Genomic DNA, 15,172 nt, shown 5'->3' with positions numbered 1-15,172 from the left:
TCCCATCACGCTCCCAGAAGAGTACATGAATGGTGAAAGGACGGATGGGCAGATCGGGCACAGCAAAGCACCAAGGGAAGAAACAGCAAATGACCAAAGCTATAAGCCCTAGTGCTTTTAGATAGGGAAGGGGCTTTGCAACTGGCTCATGACCTTAAGTGAGTTTTTAAACTCTCTGAGTGAGCCTGTTTCTTTCATCTTGGTTTGGAAAAATGAAAGGAGCTCCTTATCAACTTAAGTCAGAAAACAAACAAAAAACAAATGTTGAAAGATTATAGTCACAGATGCACAAAGCAACTCTTCGTTCCATTTACCAATGTGTATAATGTAATGCATCATTCCACAAAAGCGGATGACGCTTCTAATGGAAAGCAAGGAAAAGGTGGAGGAAAAAAGAAAATACATTCTAGAAAATACAGAAATGCCGTATTTCTGTCTACCTTCCCTCACGTTTGCCCACAGGGCAGGACTTTTGTCTAAATGTATGATAGCCCTGGCAGTGTATACCTTCAGGCTCCAAGCTCCAGAGAACCCAAGAGGTAATGTGGAGACTGCAATTGTCAGCAATTCCATACACTGAGAAACACAGGGAAAGAGGCTGCATGTGTAACTCTCCAAGTCCGACATCTCCAGCTTGGACTCAAAACACCAGTGGTTTAATCCAGAGACAGAAACACCTTTTGAGTCCCATTCCATTACACAAGAAGCCCTTTGCTCTTTGGCTTGTTTTACTGCAGGCAAACTGCGAGGCTGAAATAGGATTTCCCTCACTGCAGCCCACATTGGGATAAGTCAGAGCCTGCGGACTCTGCTTGAGGAGTGGCCAGGGAGATGCTTGCAGAGTGCAGTAAACAGGACATGGAGGAAGTTGGGAGCTGGACTCGGGTTGTTAACAAGCCCTTCCCCGCCACCCCCACGTTGTCAGGAAATGTGGGGAGCTGAGGGCCACAGAGCACACAATGATGCAGTGGGAAGTGGCCTTTATAAATACCCAGGGGTCAGGGCCAGGCTCGGCAAACAATAGGGGAAATGATGATGGCGGCAGTGGGTGTGGGGGGTGGGGAAGGCCAGGATGAGTCCATCAGTGACAATAATGGAGCAGAAGCAGATACTGGCGCTGGCGGTCCAGGGGGGCCTGGGGGTTGTGAATCAAACTATACAAATTGCCGGTGACTCAGTAGCCACAACAGAGGGTAGCAGGGTCTGTAAACAGTCCACAGTATGTCCCATTGTTCCTTCAAGAACCTCTCCCTGGTCTCTACATGTCAAAGGTCTCTGTTTTGCTTCACTTACCGGAAGCTGGTGGAAGCTAGTTGAGTGTTCAGAGGACACCATTCCTCACCGGTGGTGACAGTGGGCTCAGGGCTGCATTTTCTGCCTTGTGTTCACCCTGGTAAGCAAATAGGCACCAAAGGAAGGGAAAGAGGATCTGCAGGGAAACAAACAATGCCCCAGAGCTGAACTTTGGTTTAGTCTCCCCAGATTCACTTGGTGTGTGGATGGGAATGGAAGATTAGTATGCCGCCCTTCACTGGCCGTGGGGAGAGATGCATTTTTGTATTCAGAATATAACCTTGCAAATGAGATCAAACATTTGAAGAGCTATGGGAAAGGCAATAAACCAAAGTGGGATTCTTCGTCACTTGTCCAGCATGAATTATTACTTGCTGGTTAAGCAGGTGAGTAAGTGGCTATTTGCAAAGCTGCCTGAAGGACCTAGATTATTATTTTGTTTTTTTTTTTGTGGGACAGTTCCTAGTTCTTTCTACGATTAGCTATGCAAAAGATAGACGACTGAAATTCTTTAGGCTTCATTTTTCCTCACCACATGGGGTTGGTCACTGAGGATCTATGAGACGCTAAACTTACAGAAACAGAAAGATTTTAGGTCAACTTATTTTTCTTTTCCATCTTTGCCCAGCACTGGAAATATATATTTTACCCTGACACACAGACTGAGTTAGAGGAGCTGGCATGTGCTCCATTTCTTCATGTTAAAGCATACCAGGTGTTTCTAAGTTACAGGGTGATTTCCATGTACAAAGATATTTGTGACATAAAATATACCTTTTGCAGAAATTATGAACTCCCCAGATTGAATGTTCCTTGTATCAATTATTATTCTGTTTTAGAGTGCTTCATCATAAACATGATTAAAAATCTAATTAGGTAATCAATTACATAACAGTCATTTCTTTCTCTAAAATGTAAGCTTTACAAAGGCAGGCCCTGAGCCTCTCCTACTGATATGGTTTCCTTGGTGCTGAGCATAGTTTCTCCCATGGAATTGGCCCTTAGTAGGTATTGAGTGAGTGAGCAGGAGAACGAATGCTCTCTAAGTGCCTCTGTTTTATATGCAGTCTCTGTAAGGAGCCAGCTGGAAGCTGGGATCTGGGGTGCATGTGTATTGCAGGGGTCTGAGCATGGTCCTCCAGGGCTGTTTAACCACGGATGCATGTTCAGGGTGCCCTCTAAGACTGTAGGGCTCACCATGCCATGGATGTCTCTGATGGGAGGCGCTGTTCCTTCTGTATCCCATGGCACATATGATAAAGTGCGGTCTCATTCGAAGTCCCATTTAGTGAAATAAAACATAGGAAACTCAAATGGAGGTTAAGCAAGCCACGTTATATTTATTTTAATATTTATTATTTAAAACATATATTTAAAAGACATAGGCTTTGACTTTCAGTGAGAAAAGATTAACCAATATGTAAATTTAGATCTTACTAAGGGCACCCTAACTCTATCTTTAACCTTGATATGCTGCTGGTGAAACTATAAACAGGCATATACTTTTTTTTTTGGTAACTTTTATTTTAGGTTTGGGGAACATGTGCAGGTTTGTTATATAGGTAAACTCATCTCACGGGGATTGGTTGTACAGACTAATTTGTTACCTAGATACTAAGCCTAGTACCCAATAGTTATTTTTCTTCTCCTCTTCCTTCTCCCACCCTCCACTCTCAAGTAGCCGCCAATGTCTGTTGTTCCCTACTTTGTATCCATTAGTTCTCATCATTTAGCTCCCACTTATAAATGGGAACACACTGTATTTGTTTATCTGTTCCTGCGTTAGCTTGCTAATGCCAATGGCCTCCAGCTCCATCCATGTCCCTCCAAAAGACATGATCTTATTCTTATGGCTGCATAGTATTCCATGGTGTATGTGCATCACCTTTTCTTTATCCAGTCTGTCACTGATGGGCATTCACATTGATTCCTTGTCTTTTCTATTGTGAATAGGGCTGCAATGGACATTCACATACATGTGTCTTTATGGTAGAATAATTTGTATTCCTCTGGGTATATACCCAGTAATGAAATTCATGCTTATACTTTCTAAGCAAGCAATTTTTTCTATTACAGTTTATCAAAAGTCTTAAAATATTTGTATTTTCAGCCCAGCAATTTTATTTTTGGAAACTTTCATAAAAATCTGGACAACAATTTATAACTAAAGAGGTTTATCATATTCCAGTTCTATAGAAATAATTTTAAAAGTAGAAAATTTTTCTAATAACAGGATATTTAATTAAAAACAAATGACAGAATATAATGATGGCACTGTTAAATTAATGGTGTCATTAAAATCACTTATATATAATTTGGATCAGTGATATTATTTGACAAAATGAAAAAATGCAGCATAAAAATTGCATATAGGCTATATTCTCAATGATAAAATACATGTAAATTTAAAAAGACTGGAAACGATTCTGTAAAACATTAGTGATGATTTTTTCAGGGTGTTGGAATGGCAGTTCTCTTCTTTTTTCTTGATACTTTCTCTAAAATTCTAATAATAAACATGTATTTTATAATCAGTTAATAAAAACTATGTAAAACTTTGGCTCAGTAAGTTTAGTTTTGAAATTCCAAATTTAGGTTACTCTATCGATTTTTGCAAGGAATGAAGACTTGGGAGTGAGTCTCTTCAAAAAGTAAAAAAAAGGGAAGAGAGAAGAAGACAAAGGTGCAGGCATGTAGAAGGAAATTTTCTTTTTGTTTTGGAAAAAATCATGGGGAGTCATAAACATAATATACAAAGACATTTTAAGTACTCATATTTTTTTTTCCCTGGCTTCTGACAAACCATTGAAGGGGGAAACTGCTGAGAGCGTTCATGCAGAATGCCTTCAGCAGATGTTAAGGGAAGGAAGTCCATGCACCAACTTCCAGTGAAGCGCTCATGGTCACAAATGCCAGGTATTGTGGGTTTTGATATCAGAATGTTTTCAGGTAAAGGTCTGTTTTCAAGAAAGGGTGAGCTAAACAAACCACAGGCAAACAGCCTGAGGATGATGGTGGTAAACTAAGAATGAGTTAAGAAATAACAGTTAACTCTACTGTGTTTTCACCAGGCACTATTCTAAGTGTTCCGTGTGTGTGTGTTAACTCTTTTAATTCTTGCAGCAAACCCATGAGTTAGATGATATTACTACCCTCATTTTATAGGTTAGGAAATGGAGGCATAGAATGTTGAGTAAGTTGCCCGAGGTTGCGGGACTAGCAGAGAAATCAGGAATCCAGGGAATCTAGTTTAGAGCCCTTACTTTTACATCACAGTCTAAGCCCTCATTGATAACAGTTCTGCAAAGTTAGAAAGTCATCACATTATACCCAGGTGTTTGCATTCCTGTAGCCACGTAAGGAGGACTTATTCAGTAGGACAAGAAATTGCAGTTTAAAAGAAAATAATATTGTAAAAGGAAATAGCTACACTTATTTAAGACCTAAAGTTCCATTCAGTGTTTGTCTATTTGATAAATGTTTGAAAAACATTTGAGGATGTCCTGGAAGTAGAGATAAAAGACTTACTCTAGAAAGACAGACATAAGTAAAAGTGAATCATATGCTGAAAGATACTGGGACCTCTGATGAACTTATGCAAGATTAATGTAATTTCACAGGTATTTGGAAATGACACTTTGACAATCTGAACAATGGTGAGGAGACTACAGGGAGAGAGGTTTGGAAGTAACACATATATCGAAGTCTGATGTATTGGCTTAAAATATAATGCCATCTTGGCTTTTCTAATTCAACAAGTAAATATGTATACATACATGTAAAATGTCATCTGAATTGAATGGTAAAATATAGAAATTGGTGACTTTAGTTTGGGTAGCATCCAGAAAGAGAGGAGACCCCACTCTAGCTGGATGTTGTAATAACTTTCATATAAGGGCTATTTACAGCATGTGTGGGTGGAGTTTAAAACATGCACCAGGGGTTGAGCGGTGCCCTGGAATTGATGCCATCAGGAGGCAGCAGCTTTTGCCACCTCCAGGCCCGATGGCCACCAGGAAAGCAGCTGTGTGGAAAAGGATGCCTGATGAGACCTGACCTTGTATCCAGGATGCAGCCAGTCCATGGCAACCCCACAGGGAGAAGAATGGGACAATACATACAGCATCATCCCTCTCCTGCCTCCTCCCATTCTCCTGCCAGTGCTCACCAAAGACCAACCCCAGGGAGTAGCCAGAGGGCAAAGAAGGAGCCTGTAAGTCAGGCTCCTTAGGCATGCATTTTGGAGGGAGGGAAAGTGCATCTGGGGGTGCACCTGGAAGATAGCTAACTCAGTAACTGTTTGCATGTGGCAGTCAGAGAGGGGATGGAATGTGCCAGGAGTCTCAGGTCTTTGGGTATGGGCCAGGGAATATCGAGGATGTGCAAAATGAGGGGGAAATGCTGTGTATGTAACAAATTCATGTACAACTTCTAGTAGGTAATTATTTTATATCAACTATGGAGAGGGTGTGAGAGATATGGAAAGTGTCTACCATCAGTTTAGATAGGTGAGAGTTTAAACCATGGTGGCAAATGAGGTCTCGAGGGAGCCTGTGTATGTGGAGCAATTAGAAGAGATGACCAAAGGCCATGGGATCTCGGATTTGTAAAGATGTAATGAAGACACCGAGAGGAGGTAACCTGGGGGGTATTTCAACCTGGCCTTTTTCTATGTGCCAGGAGTCGTGGGTTTGTATTTGCTTTTTAAGGATTCCCACAGTTCTAAGGGGGAAATGCAGAGTGAATGGAATTTTAAGCTGAGAAATTAAAGACCTGAGCCTGTCTACTGGGCCTCAGAATAGAACCTCCACCGATGACCTTTCCTCTTCAAGCCTTCCGTACCTTTCTGGGGTAAAGTTATTTGACTACATGCTGCCTCGCAGAGTGTTTTCAAGGATAAATGAGATAACGTCTGTAAAGCCCCTGGAGAGGAAGCCCCAATCTAGATAAACACACCCTCTGGTATTTTTAGCCCCAGAGTGCTGGGTGTTCAGGATATGCCATTTAGCAATTCCTGGAGCCTTGAAAAGGAAAGAGAAAGGGGCGTTGTGGGGCCAGGATCAGTGGCATACAACAAATGTTTTTCGAGAAATCCCTCCCACCCTAAGTGTAAGAATCCACGTCAAAGGAAACAAACACCATGAGTAGATAAAACAGGAAGGTGACAGGTTTGCTTGCTTGCAATCAAGACGGGGGATGCCAAAGGGCTAGTTCTGGCTGCTGGCTCACTCTGAGGGGTGGGGGTCCAATGGCTGGCTCCTCCACTGATAATGAAACGAGGGTTAAGCAACTCTCTGTCCTGCAGAGAATGGCAGGAAACATCTTCATCACCCATGACTCCTTGAGAGAGTAGTGGGGTTTGGGGAGGTTGCATTTCCTTTCAAGATTCCAGAAAGGGTGCTCACACCCCCAGGGGCATGAATGCTGGCACGCTGACCCAACACAAGCAAGGCTGCCAGATGACCATGGGGTCCGGCCCGCCCTTCTGTCCCTATCTGCTTCATAAGCACAAAGCCCTTCAGAAAGTAACAACAGGAACCTTGGAATGATAACTCACTTGGAGAAAGGTCTTACAAGAGTTCATCGAGCTGCTTCATCAATGCTCTTTTCTTCCTTTCCATTCTGTAGGGAGAATGTTTATCTCTCAGTTTCATGTTATGGGCCTAATCTCTTTATATATGGAAAGGGAATAAAGTTTGAGTATCTCCTATGCTCCAGGCTGTGAGTTAAACATTTATATGCATCATGTCATTTAAATCTACATTTAACTCTACTCTGCTATGTCTATATTCTTTCCACAACTGTCCTGTTAAACTCAGAAACCAAAACTGGCACAGAGTTAAATCAGGGTGCCTGTATCAAGCTGCTCTGTCCCAAGTATCCAAACTGATTCATAGTAAGATTAATAGGAGAATGTAATTTTATTTCACCCTTGGTCATCTTGTTTTTATTTTCTTAAAGCAGATAGAGTGTGCCCTTTGTAGACACCCACTGAGATATGTAGACTTGCCTTTTAGGTAGTGTAGGATGAGTAATTGACTGTGAAGTTCGTATCATGTTCTCCTGGGCTTCTTTTTTTGTTTGTTTTTGAGATGGAGTCTCTCTTTGCTGCCCAGGCTGGAGTGCAGTGGCACGATCTCGGCTCACTGCAACCTCCACTTCCCGGGTTCAAGCAATTCTCCTGCCTCAGCCTCCCGAGTAGCTGGGATGACAGGCATGTGCCACCACGCCCGGCTGATTACCCCAGGTCTTCTTATGTTGAGTGGTTTAGTACCAGACCAGAAATCACTTGCAAAATGAAGAATTGGGAGAGATACAATTTCCTTAGAAGATGGGAAGGTTTTAATCAAACGAAGTCGTGAAACATTAGCTTTACCAAGAATTCAGTTCTCCTCATTAAACAAATGGAGCAATTGGGAACTGGGTGAGCTCAAATTCTCACAGCCTGCTGAGGGTAGAACTCGATTTAGAGTCCAACCCTCCTCACCCACAGCCTCATCATATTCTCCTTTATGTATATCATATTCCCTATATCTCCTGTTAGCTGATCCTCCCCCTTTTCAAAATATTTTCCCCTTAAACAATGGAAAGGGTCTGTAATAGTGCCTTCCCATGGAAAGTGTGCATAAGCATCTTGAATGAACAACTACACACCTAGAGTCATTTTACTCAAATTGTCTCTCAAATCTCTGGCTAGCTCTTCCTATTAAAAAATTTGGATTTGAATCGAGTTAGTTCCGACAGTGTAGACAGTAATTCCCTTGAAGTTACACAATGAAGAACAACTACTCCTTCTACAAAATGTGCCTTTTTTTTTTCTGTCTTCTCAGGGTTGTCCCTCATTTGGGGAATATTAAATATTACAGTTGCTATCAGTGCAAGTAATCACACCCCCATTGACAAGTCTCTGGCAGTGAATGCTTCTTACCAATGGAGAATTAGACAAAGTGACAGGTTTAATTCGCAGCAGGACAAAAAGGTGTTGAAAGTGTGAAGCGATTGTGCTCTGGGAGACACATCAATTACTTCCCTGACAGCCTGAAGGCAGTGGAGAAAGGGCTTTGTCTATGCCTAGAATATTACCTCCTTTCATCGTTCATCCCAGCTTCGATGTTCTTCATGATGTGAAGGTGGAGGAAATCAAGGTGCTTTCTTCATATCTGAGTATGGAAATTCCATTTCTGTGAAGTTTGAAAATGATTGGGTAGAAGTGAACTCCTAATGTGAAAAGGAAAGAATAACCCTTGCATTAGCATGCCCTTGGTAACTTGAGTCTCTTCAGTGAACCTCACCAACGTTCATCAGGACAGAGGGAATTATCAGCCTATTGAGTGGAAAGGTTAAATGAGTTTTATCATCTTCTCAGTAAGATGACAATTCTGGTGTCAGGTTTCATTTTGGTGATGAGTATCACTGTGGGGAGGGACAGCAGCATGCCCACGGCCTCTGGGGCCGCCTGCCTGAGGGGCAGCCGGGCAGAAGGACGTTGAGAGGGAAGGTGATGAGTTGGGGAGGGAGGCAGAAGGCACATTGTGCTCTCTGCTCCAGAGGGATGGTCTCTGCTCGCATGAGAGTGTCTGTGAGTTGCGTTGAGTTTCAGAACAACCTCTGCCAAATACATTTATGTCAATACAAATTTATATCATCCAACACAACACTACCATGAGTCAAGCCAATATGGAGTTCAGAACTCTTTTGTAAAAAAAATTAAATTTGTTTTCTAATTGCTTTTGTAAGGGAAGGGATGATTAAGGCTTCATATAACCAGACTCCATAGCTGATATGCAATAAATTTATGTTGAGTGAAAGAATACTAATTGAACATAATATTGTAGAATTTGATTTCTTCCTTAAGACCTTGCTACTCCAACTGTGCTCTGTAGATCACTAGCATCCCATTATCTGCAAAATTGATACAAAAAAATGTGAAATCCCAGGGTCCACTCCAGACAGATTGAATCAGAATCTGCATTTTATTAACAACAAATTCCACAGATAATTACACATCCATTAAAGCTTCAGAAGCACTGCTGTAAAATGCAATGCCCATAGTTGGATGGTTTCCACCAGGTGAATAGTAATATCTTTCGTGTTTGTTAAGCTTAATTATATTTTTTTTAAAAAGCTCAGATCTGGATAACTGGAAGAAGTATATAGCACAAAGCCTATTCATATTTTTTCTAGAAAAAATGTAGGTTTTAGAATAATTTCGTGATAAATCTCTCATTTCTACTTTTATTTGTTGTTGTTTTTGTTTTGTTTTGTTTTTTTGAGACGGAGTTTTGCTCTTGTTGCCCAGGCTGGAGTGCAATGGCACACTCTCGGCTCACTGCAACCTCCACCTCTTTGGTTCAAGCGTTTCTCCTGCCTCAGCCTCCTGAGAGTAGCTGGGATTACAGGCATGCGCCACCACGCCTGGCTAATTTTGTATTTTTAGTAGAGACAGGGTTTCTTCATGTTGGTCAGGCTGGTCTCAAACTCCCAACCTCAGGTGATCCACCCACCTCAGCCTCCCAAAGTGCTGGCATTACAGGCATGAGCCACCGCGCCTGGCCTTATTTCTACTTTTAAATACTACTATTTATCTATCAGCGTGCCTGAGTCCCTTAAAAGGTTTTGAGCTCTTGGAAAGTAAAGATCATATATCAATAATTCCTGTATATCCCTACAATTTTACATGGAATAACTACTTTTAAAATGCGTATTGAATAGACAATCAAACTTCTAGGTAAAAACAGATATTCTGTCTCATAAACACTGAACACTCTCTTCAAAACACAAATCATAATTCATAATTATATATTTCAGTGTCTGTTTCCTTAATGTCTTCTTCTACTAGATAATAAATTATATGAGAACAAGTCAAGGTTTGTCTCATTCACTCTTGTATTGCATTTGCCAAATTGAAGAATGTGTAACGGTAAGTTCAGGTGTTTCTAATGCTTAACTTAGCCAAATCAACAGGTGCTTTCTCCTTTGAGAAAAATCTTATTTACTTTATACAAGAATAATTATAACAATTGTCAGTTTCTGCCTGCTTCACTGCTTAGCAGATTGAAAATATCTATTACCTCCAAAAGGGGCCTAATTTGGACTTCCCTTGCTCCATCTACCTTCTCCCTCAGAAGGAAATTGTTTTCAATTCTCCATAGTAGAAACTCTCAGTTTCAAGCTCCAAGAACTATCAGTTGTTTTTTTTTCTCACTCTCAGAAGTGCCTTCCTCAAAGAAAGTCATACAGTGCCCACCCATCTGCAGCAGAGCCTCAGTCCCCCAACTTTTCTGCCACCCAACAAATAAGTGTAGCGCCCATCTGTCTGCAGCAGAGCCTCAGTCCCGCAACCTTTCTACCCCAAAACAAATAATGCATCTCCCCTTTTGTTTTTTGTTGGCACACAGCACGTCCTCCTGCCCGGGGCTTTGGTTCACACTGCTCTGGTGTGTGTGCATGAGTATATGTTGCTCTGTGTTTTGTGGTGTTTCTTTAGCAGCCTCTACCATTCTGTGGGTGTTTTCTCGATCCGAAGTGGAACCACTGAGTCTATGACACCCGCTGCTGTTTGTGCAATTCTCTGCAAAAATGGCTTCAAGTGTTACCTTGCCTGCTCCACTTCGGGGCAACCACAATGATGAACAGGCACGAACTTCTTGACGCATGCACTTCACCTCCCTGACAGGGCCCGATAAGATCAAATAGCAGGGCTGCAAGTGGTCTGACAGGCTCGTTGTGCCATGTTCAGAGAGCAGAGGTGGGTGAGCTGAAGGCCCCTGCCACACTCCTGCCACGGGGGCTTGCTTGGGCTGCAGTTAGCCCCGGGAGGGGCTGACCTCAGAGGTGGGAGGCACAGTTGAGTTTCCAGAAGAGTCGATGGGTGCATTTCAGGGGTAGAAATCAGCCTAGAAAACTTTCCTTTCTAGGGCCTAGGTTTCTTCCTTTATCTTGTCACTGTGGTTGTTTATTTCCCTCCTTGGTTATTTCTTCCCCACAAATCACTATAATAAGAACAATTTCACACGGAGTGAGCATTCACATGGAGTCAGGTTCTTTGCCAAGTCCTGTACATGTTTCCTCTAAGCCACCTCTCTGCTCTGAAAACAGTTCCCTCTCTCTGCTTCTGAGCTCATGAGGGGAGTCACTCAGGTGTCAGCATCCAAACCACAGGGAGAACTCGTTGACCGACCCCACGGCCTGGTTCGGGGGGCGGTGCATGTGGTGATATCTCTGATAGGCATTTCATGTTTTCATCTTTCATGTAATAAGGATTCCTTGTGACTCAAAGGAGAAAAGAAACCCTCGACTGGGACGGATTAGCTAGTAATCGTGTTGTGAGCAGGGATTATTAGGATCTAATCTTTATTGCAAAAGTCATATTCAGTGAACTCTGAATGGCCTGATGGTTCAACACTCACTATCAGGAGCCTGAGAACACGCAGCATGAGGATCCTGTGGAAATCATTTGTATATGGGGGCTGCTATAAGATCTAGTGTTGGTCTAGTGGCAAGGAAAAGAAAACTGACTGGATCCAGGATATGCAACAAGTCAGTGGCACAACTAGCAACGAAAGAAAGGTGCCGGGGCAAGGGAATTATTTTTTCCATAACTCTATAAAAGACACCTATTCACAAGAAGACACTACTCATTTCATTTCTTTCCAGAAAGGTGCTGAAAGGCAAAAATTACCAAGGGGCAAGCCGAGAAAGCTCTAATAGAGAAATGTCATTATGCTCCAGGTTCCTTAACTTTTAATGAAATGTTGCTGGTTCTGTTTCACAGGTAGAGAATTGAAGCCTCTCAGAGGTTAAGGAGCTTGCTCAAGGTCACTCAGCAAATAAGTTGTGGAGTTGCAAGGGGAAATGCTGCCAGTTCTGACAGTCTCATCCACACTGCCTCCTCCTGTCTGAAATGCAAAACAGGCAGATGAGGCTCCAGCTCAGATTCATGAAAGCTCATAACCGGCCTTAGTGTCTCTGGCTGTCCATATTCCCAGCCTGTGAACTGAGCCCTCTTTCCTGGAGCCTGTTTGGGCTGGGAAGCTGTAGTCATTGCTTGGCCTTTCTCCTTAACCACAGATGGTTGGCCCAATATAAACTGCTTATTGTTTTTGTTTTTGTTTGCTTTCATCTCCAGAGTCAGGGAAATGAGTGCTCCTGACATTACCTTGTCAGTAACTATGAAAGCACCCTCTGCCCATCTTCAAGTTCCAAGGAAATCCGACAACCATTATAGCAGCCTTAGTGGCAGCAAGAATAAAATCAAGAGTCCACAAACCAGGCAGAAGGATCATCCAGTTCCCAAAGTCAGTCAAAGCAGCAGGAGGAATGACAAAGTTCTGGCAGGCCTGTGGGACTGCTTACAAGATTTTGATACCCCAGAGCCCAGGAAGGTGAATTTAGGGATGCTTAAGGAAGCTGCTGTGCCTAGACAACCCTGGCTCATGCGGGAAGGGCAATTCTGGCAGAAGGGAGCCCTCTCATCTCAATCTGTCTGTGTTGCCCCCTTTTTTCCCACCCTGCTTTGGGCTCTCTGTGTCAGCTCTCAGTTGACCTGCTTCCCTTCTTCTAGTCTGGCTGGAGCTGCTAACTCAGTGCTGCTCAGAGTGGCTTTGGGGCACTGGTTATCCCTGTTGGAACAACAGCTTTCAGACTTTATTAAGTACCTAAGCTTCCAACCCTGAGCAGCAAGCATACCATCTCCAAACTTCAGCATCCCGGCTTCCAAAGCTCCAAAGACTAGACCAGCCCACTCAAGGTCATGCCATCCTCCAGGGAACTGTTTGCTTGGCCAGAAATCACGAGTGAGGAGAAAAATGAGAAGAGAGCGTGGGGGCATCAGCAAGCCCCCACATTCTTGTCTTCTTCTAAACACCAAACTTGTTGCTGTCACAGTTTCCTTTTCTTCAATAAAGAATAAGACAGGAGCCACTTACATACACATCAGAAAACAGAGTCACCTCACGGTCTCTCAGAGGCCACCAGTGCCTCTCTCCTCCCAACACTCCTCTCTTTTAGAGGTGTTGGAAAAGTTGACTCAGTCATATAATCTTCTTACATTTAGAAGTTTAGTTTGAATCATCTTAGTGTTCCATCTTTATTAAGAAATGTTGAGCTGCTGGCTGGGCGCGGTGGCTCATGCCTGTAATCCCAGCACTTTGGGAAGCCAAGGCGGGTAGATCACTTGAAATAGGAGTTTGAGACCAGCCTGGCCAACATTGTGAAACCCTGTCTCTGCTAAAAATACAAAAATTAGCCGGACAAGACAGTGCACGCCTGTAGTCCCAGCTACTTGGGAGGCTGAGGCAGGAGAATGACTTGAGCCTAGGAGGCAGAGGTTGCAGTGAGCCGAGGTCATGCCACTGCACTCCAGTCTGGGTGATGAGAGTGAAACCCTGTCTCAAAGAAAAAAAGAAAAAAAAAAAAGAGATAAGAAAAGAAATGTTGAGCGTTGAGCTGCTAATTGTGCAAGTTTGCTCCTAAGGATAGTGGCCACTTCAGGTCAGGATGGTCTTATTTTTTTCAATCACACTCTTTCAAAGATGGGGAAACCCTTAGAGTCTTTCTCTTCCACCTCTCCCATTTTACAAGTGGGAAACTGAGTCACTGAGAAGTAAAGTGCTGTGGCTTTCATGGAGGAAACAGGACTCACTTCTAGCCTCCAAGTCCCCAGCCTGACATGCCCATGACCACTGTTTTTTCCTTTTTATTGAGTGTAGCATCGACACAATAAGGTTTTAAAGCTCAATGCTCTTGTCACATTTTCTTGCTTGTTGTTCTTGTATTCCATTACAAATCTGACCCTGACCCTTTTTGAAAGGGGTCATTCAAAGAGGGTGAGGAAGGAGAGGGAAATGAGCTTGGGCATGACCTAATCAACTCATGGTTACTAAGTTTCTCAGGAATGGAGCCTTTTTTCTAAGGTAGAGAAGTGGAAGTGAAAAGAAAGTGGGAGCCACAGAGAGAGGATCTGGGGAAGGGGTGGGGGCCTGACGACACCATTAGTTCTGGGGTTACATACACTCCCAGTGGTCCTCGCTGAGCCCCGAAGCCTAACCAGAGCACAGTCATGAAGCAACATCCACCTACAAAATTGGTGGCCTGGAAATTCACACACAGATTTCATTCCATTATTGATGAAAGAGGTAGGAAGAAAGAACATAATTATTAGAAATAACTTGAAGAAAAGGTGGTTCTTAAATTTTAAAACTTATTAAAAATAAAGTGCCTTGCCCACCTCCCAACTCCAGAGATTCTGATACAGTTTAGTGTGGAGGCCAGAAATATATTTTTCTTGTTGTTGTTTATGGTGAACGTCTAGTCCTCCATTAGTGGCTTAAAAAAAATCAACTATTTTGGGAAATCATTTTAGAGCTACAAAGAAAGTCACACAGACAGTATTGTGAATTTAGTATACCCTTCACCTCCATTCCATTTCCCCTAATTTTAATTTAAAAAATTGTGGTAAAATATACATAATATAACATTTACTATTTTAATTATTTTAAGTGTACAGTTCAATGGCATTAAGAATATTCATTCACATTGCTGGGCAACCATCACCATCATCCATCTTTTATCTTCCCAAATGGAAACTATGTAGCCATTGAATGATAACACTCCGTTCTGTCTTGGCAGCCATCATTCTACTTTCTGTCTCTATGGATTTGACTCTGTTAGGTACCTCATATAGATGAAATCATGCAATATTTGCCCTTTTGTATCTGGCTTGTCTCACTTAACGTAGTGTCTTCAAGGTTCATTTATATTGCAGCATGTGTCAGAATTTCATTCCTTTGTAAGTCTCAATAATATTCAATTGCATGTATATACCACGTTTTCTTTCTTCATTTGTGTGTTGATGGATATGTGTATTGTTTCTACCTAT

The 15,172-nt window shown here is 42.4% G+C and overlaps 1 long non-coding RNA gene across 1 annotated transcript in view, besides 1 other annotated feature; it reads left to right on the top strand.

Moving 5' to 3' along the window:
* The first annotated feature begins 1,471 nt into the window (after positions 1-1,471).
* The window catches only part of LOC124902787 (uncharacterized), a 31,955-nt gene continuing 18,254 nt past the window's right edge, over positions 1,472-15,172 (top strand). The window contains exon 1 of the long non-coding RNA XR_007062946.1: positions 1,472-1,679. This is a non-coding gene — a long non-coding RNA (uncharacterized LOC124902787). The remainder of the gene's footprint in view (positions 1,680-15,172) is intronic.
* Positions 10,395-11,529: an enhancer, noted in NCBI's record as "amplified fragment containing the chr11:128194119-128195252 (GRCh37) CAGE-defined region". NCBI's record gives its function as "transcribed enhancer in T cells {active_cell/tissue: T cell}" and the evidence as "EXISTENCE:reporter gene assay evidence [ECO:0000049][PMID:24670763]".

This window comes from Homo sapiens, chromosome 11 (genome assembly GCF_000001405.40).
Source record: "Homo sapiens chromosome 11, GRCh38.p14 Primary Assembly".
Lineage (NCBI taxonomy): Eukaryota > Metazoa > Chordata > Mammalia > Primates > Hominidae > Homo > Homo sapiens.
Note: the sequence above shows the minus strand (reverse complement) of the source record. Positions and strands in the feature narration are given on the sequence as shown.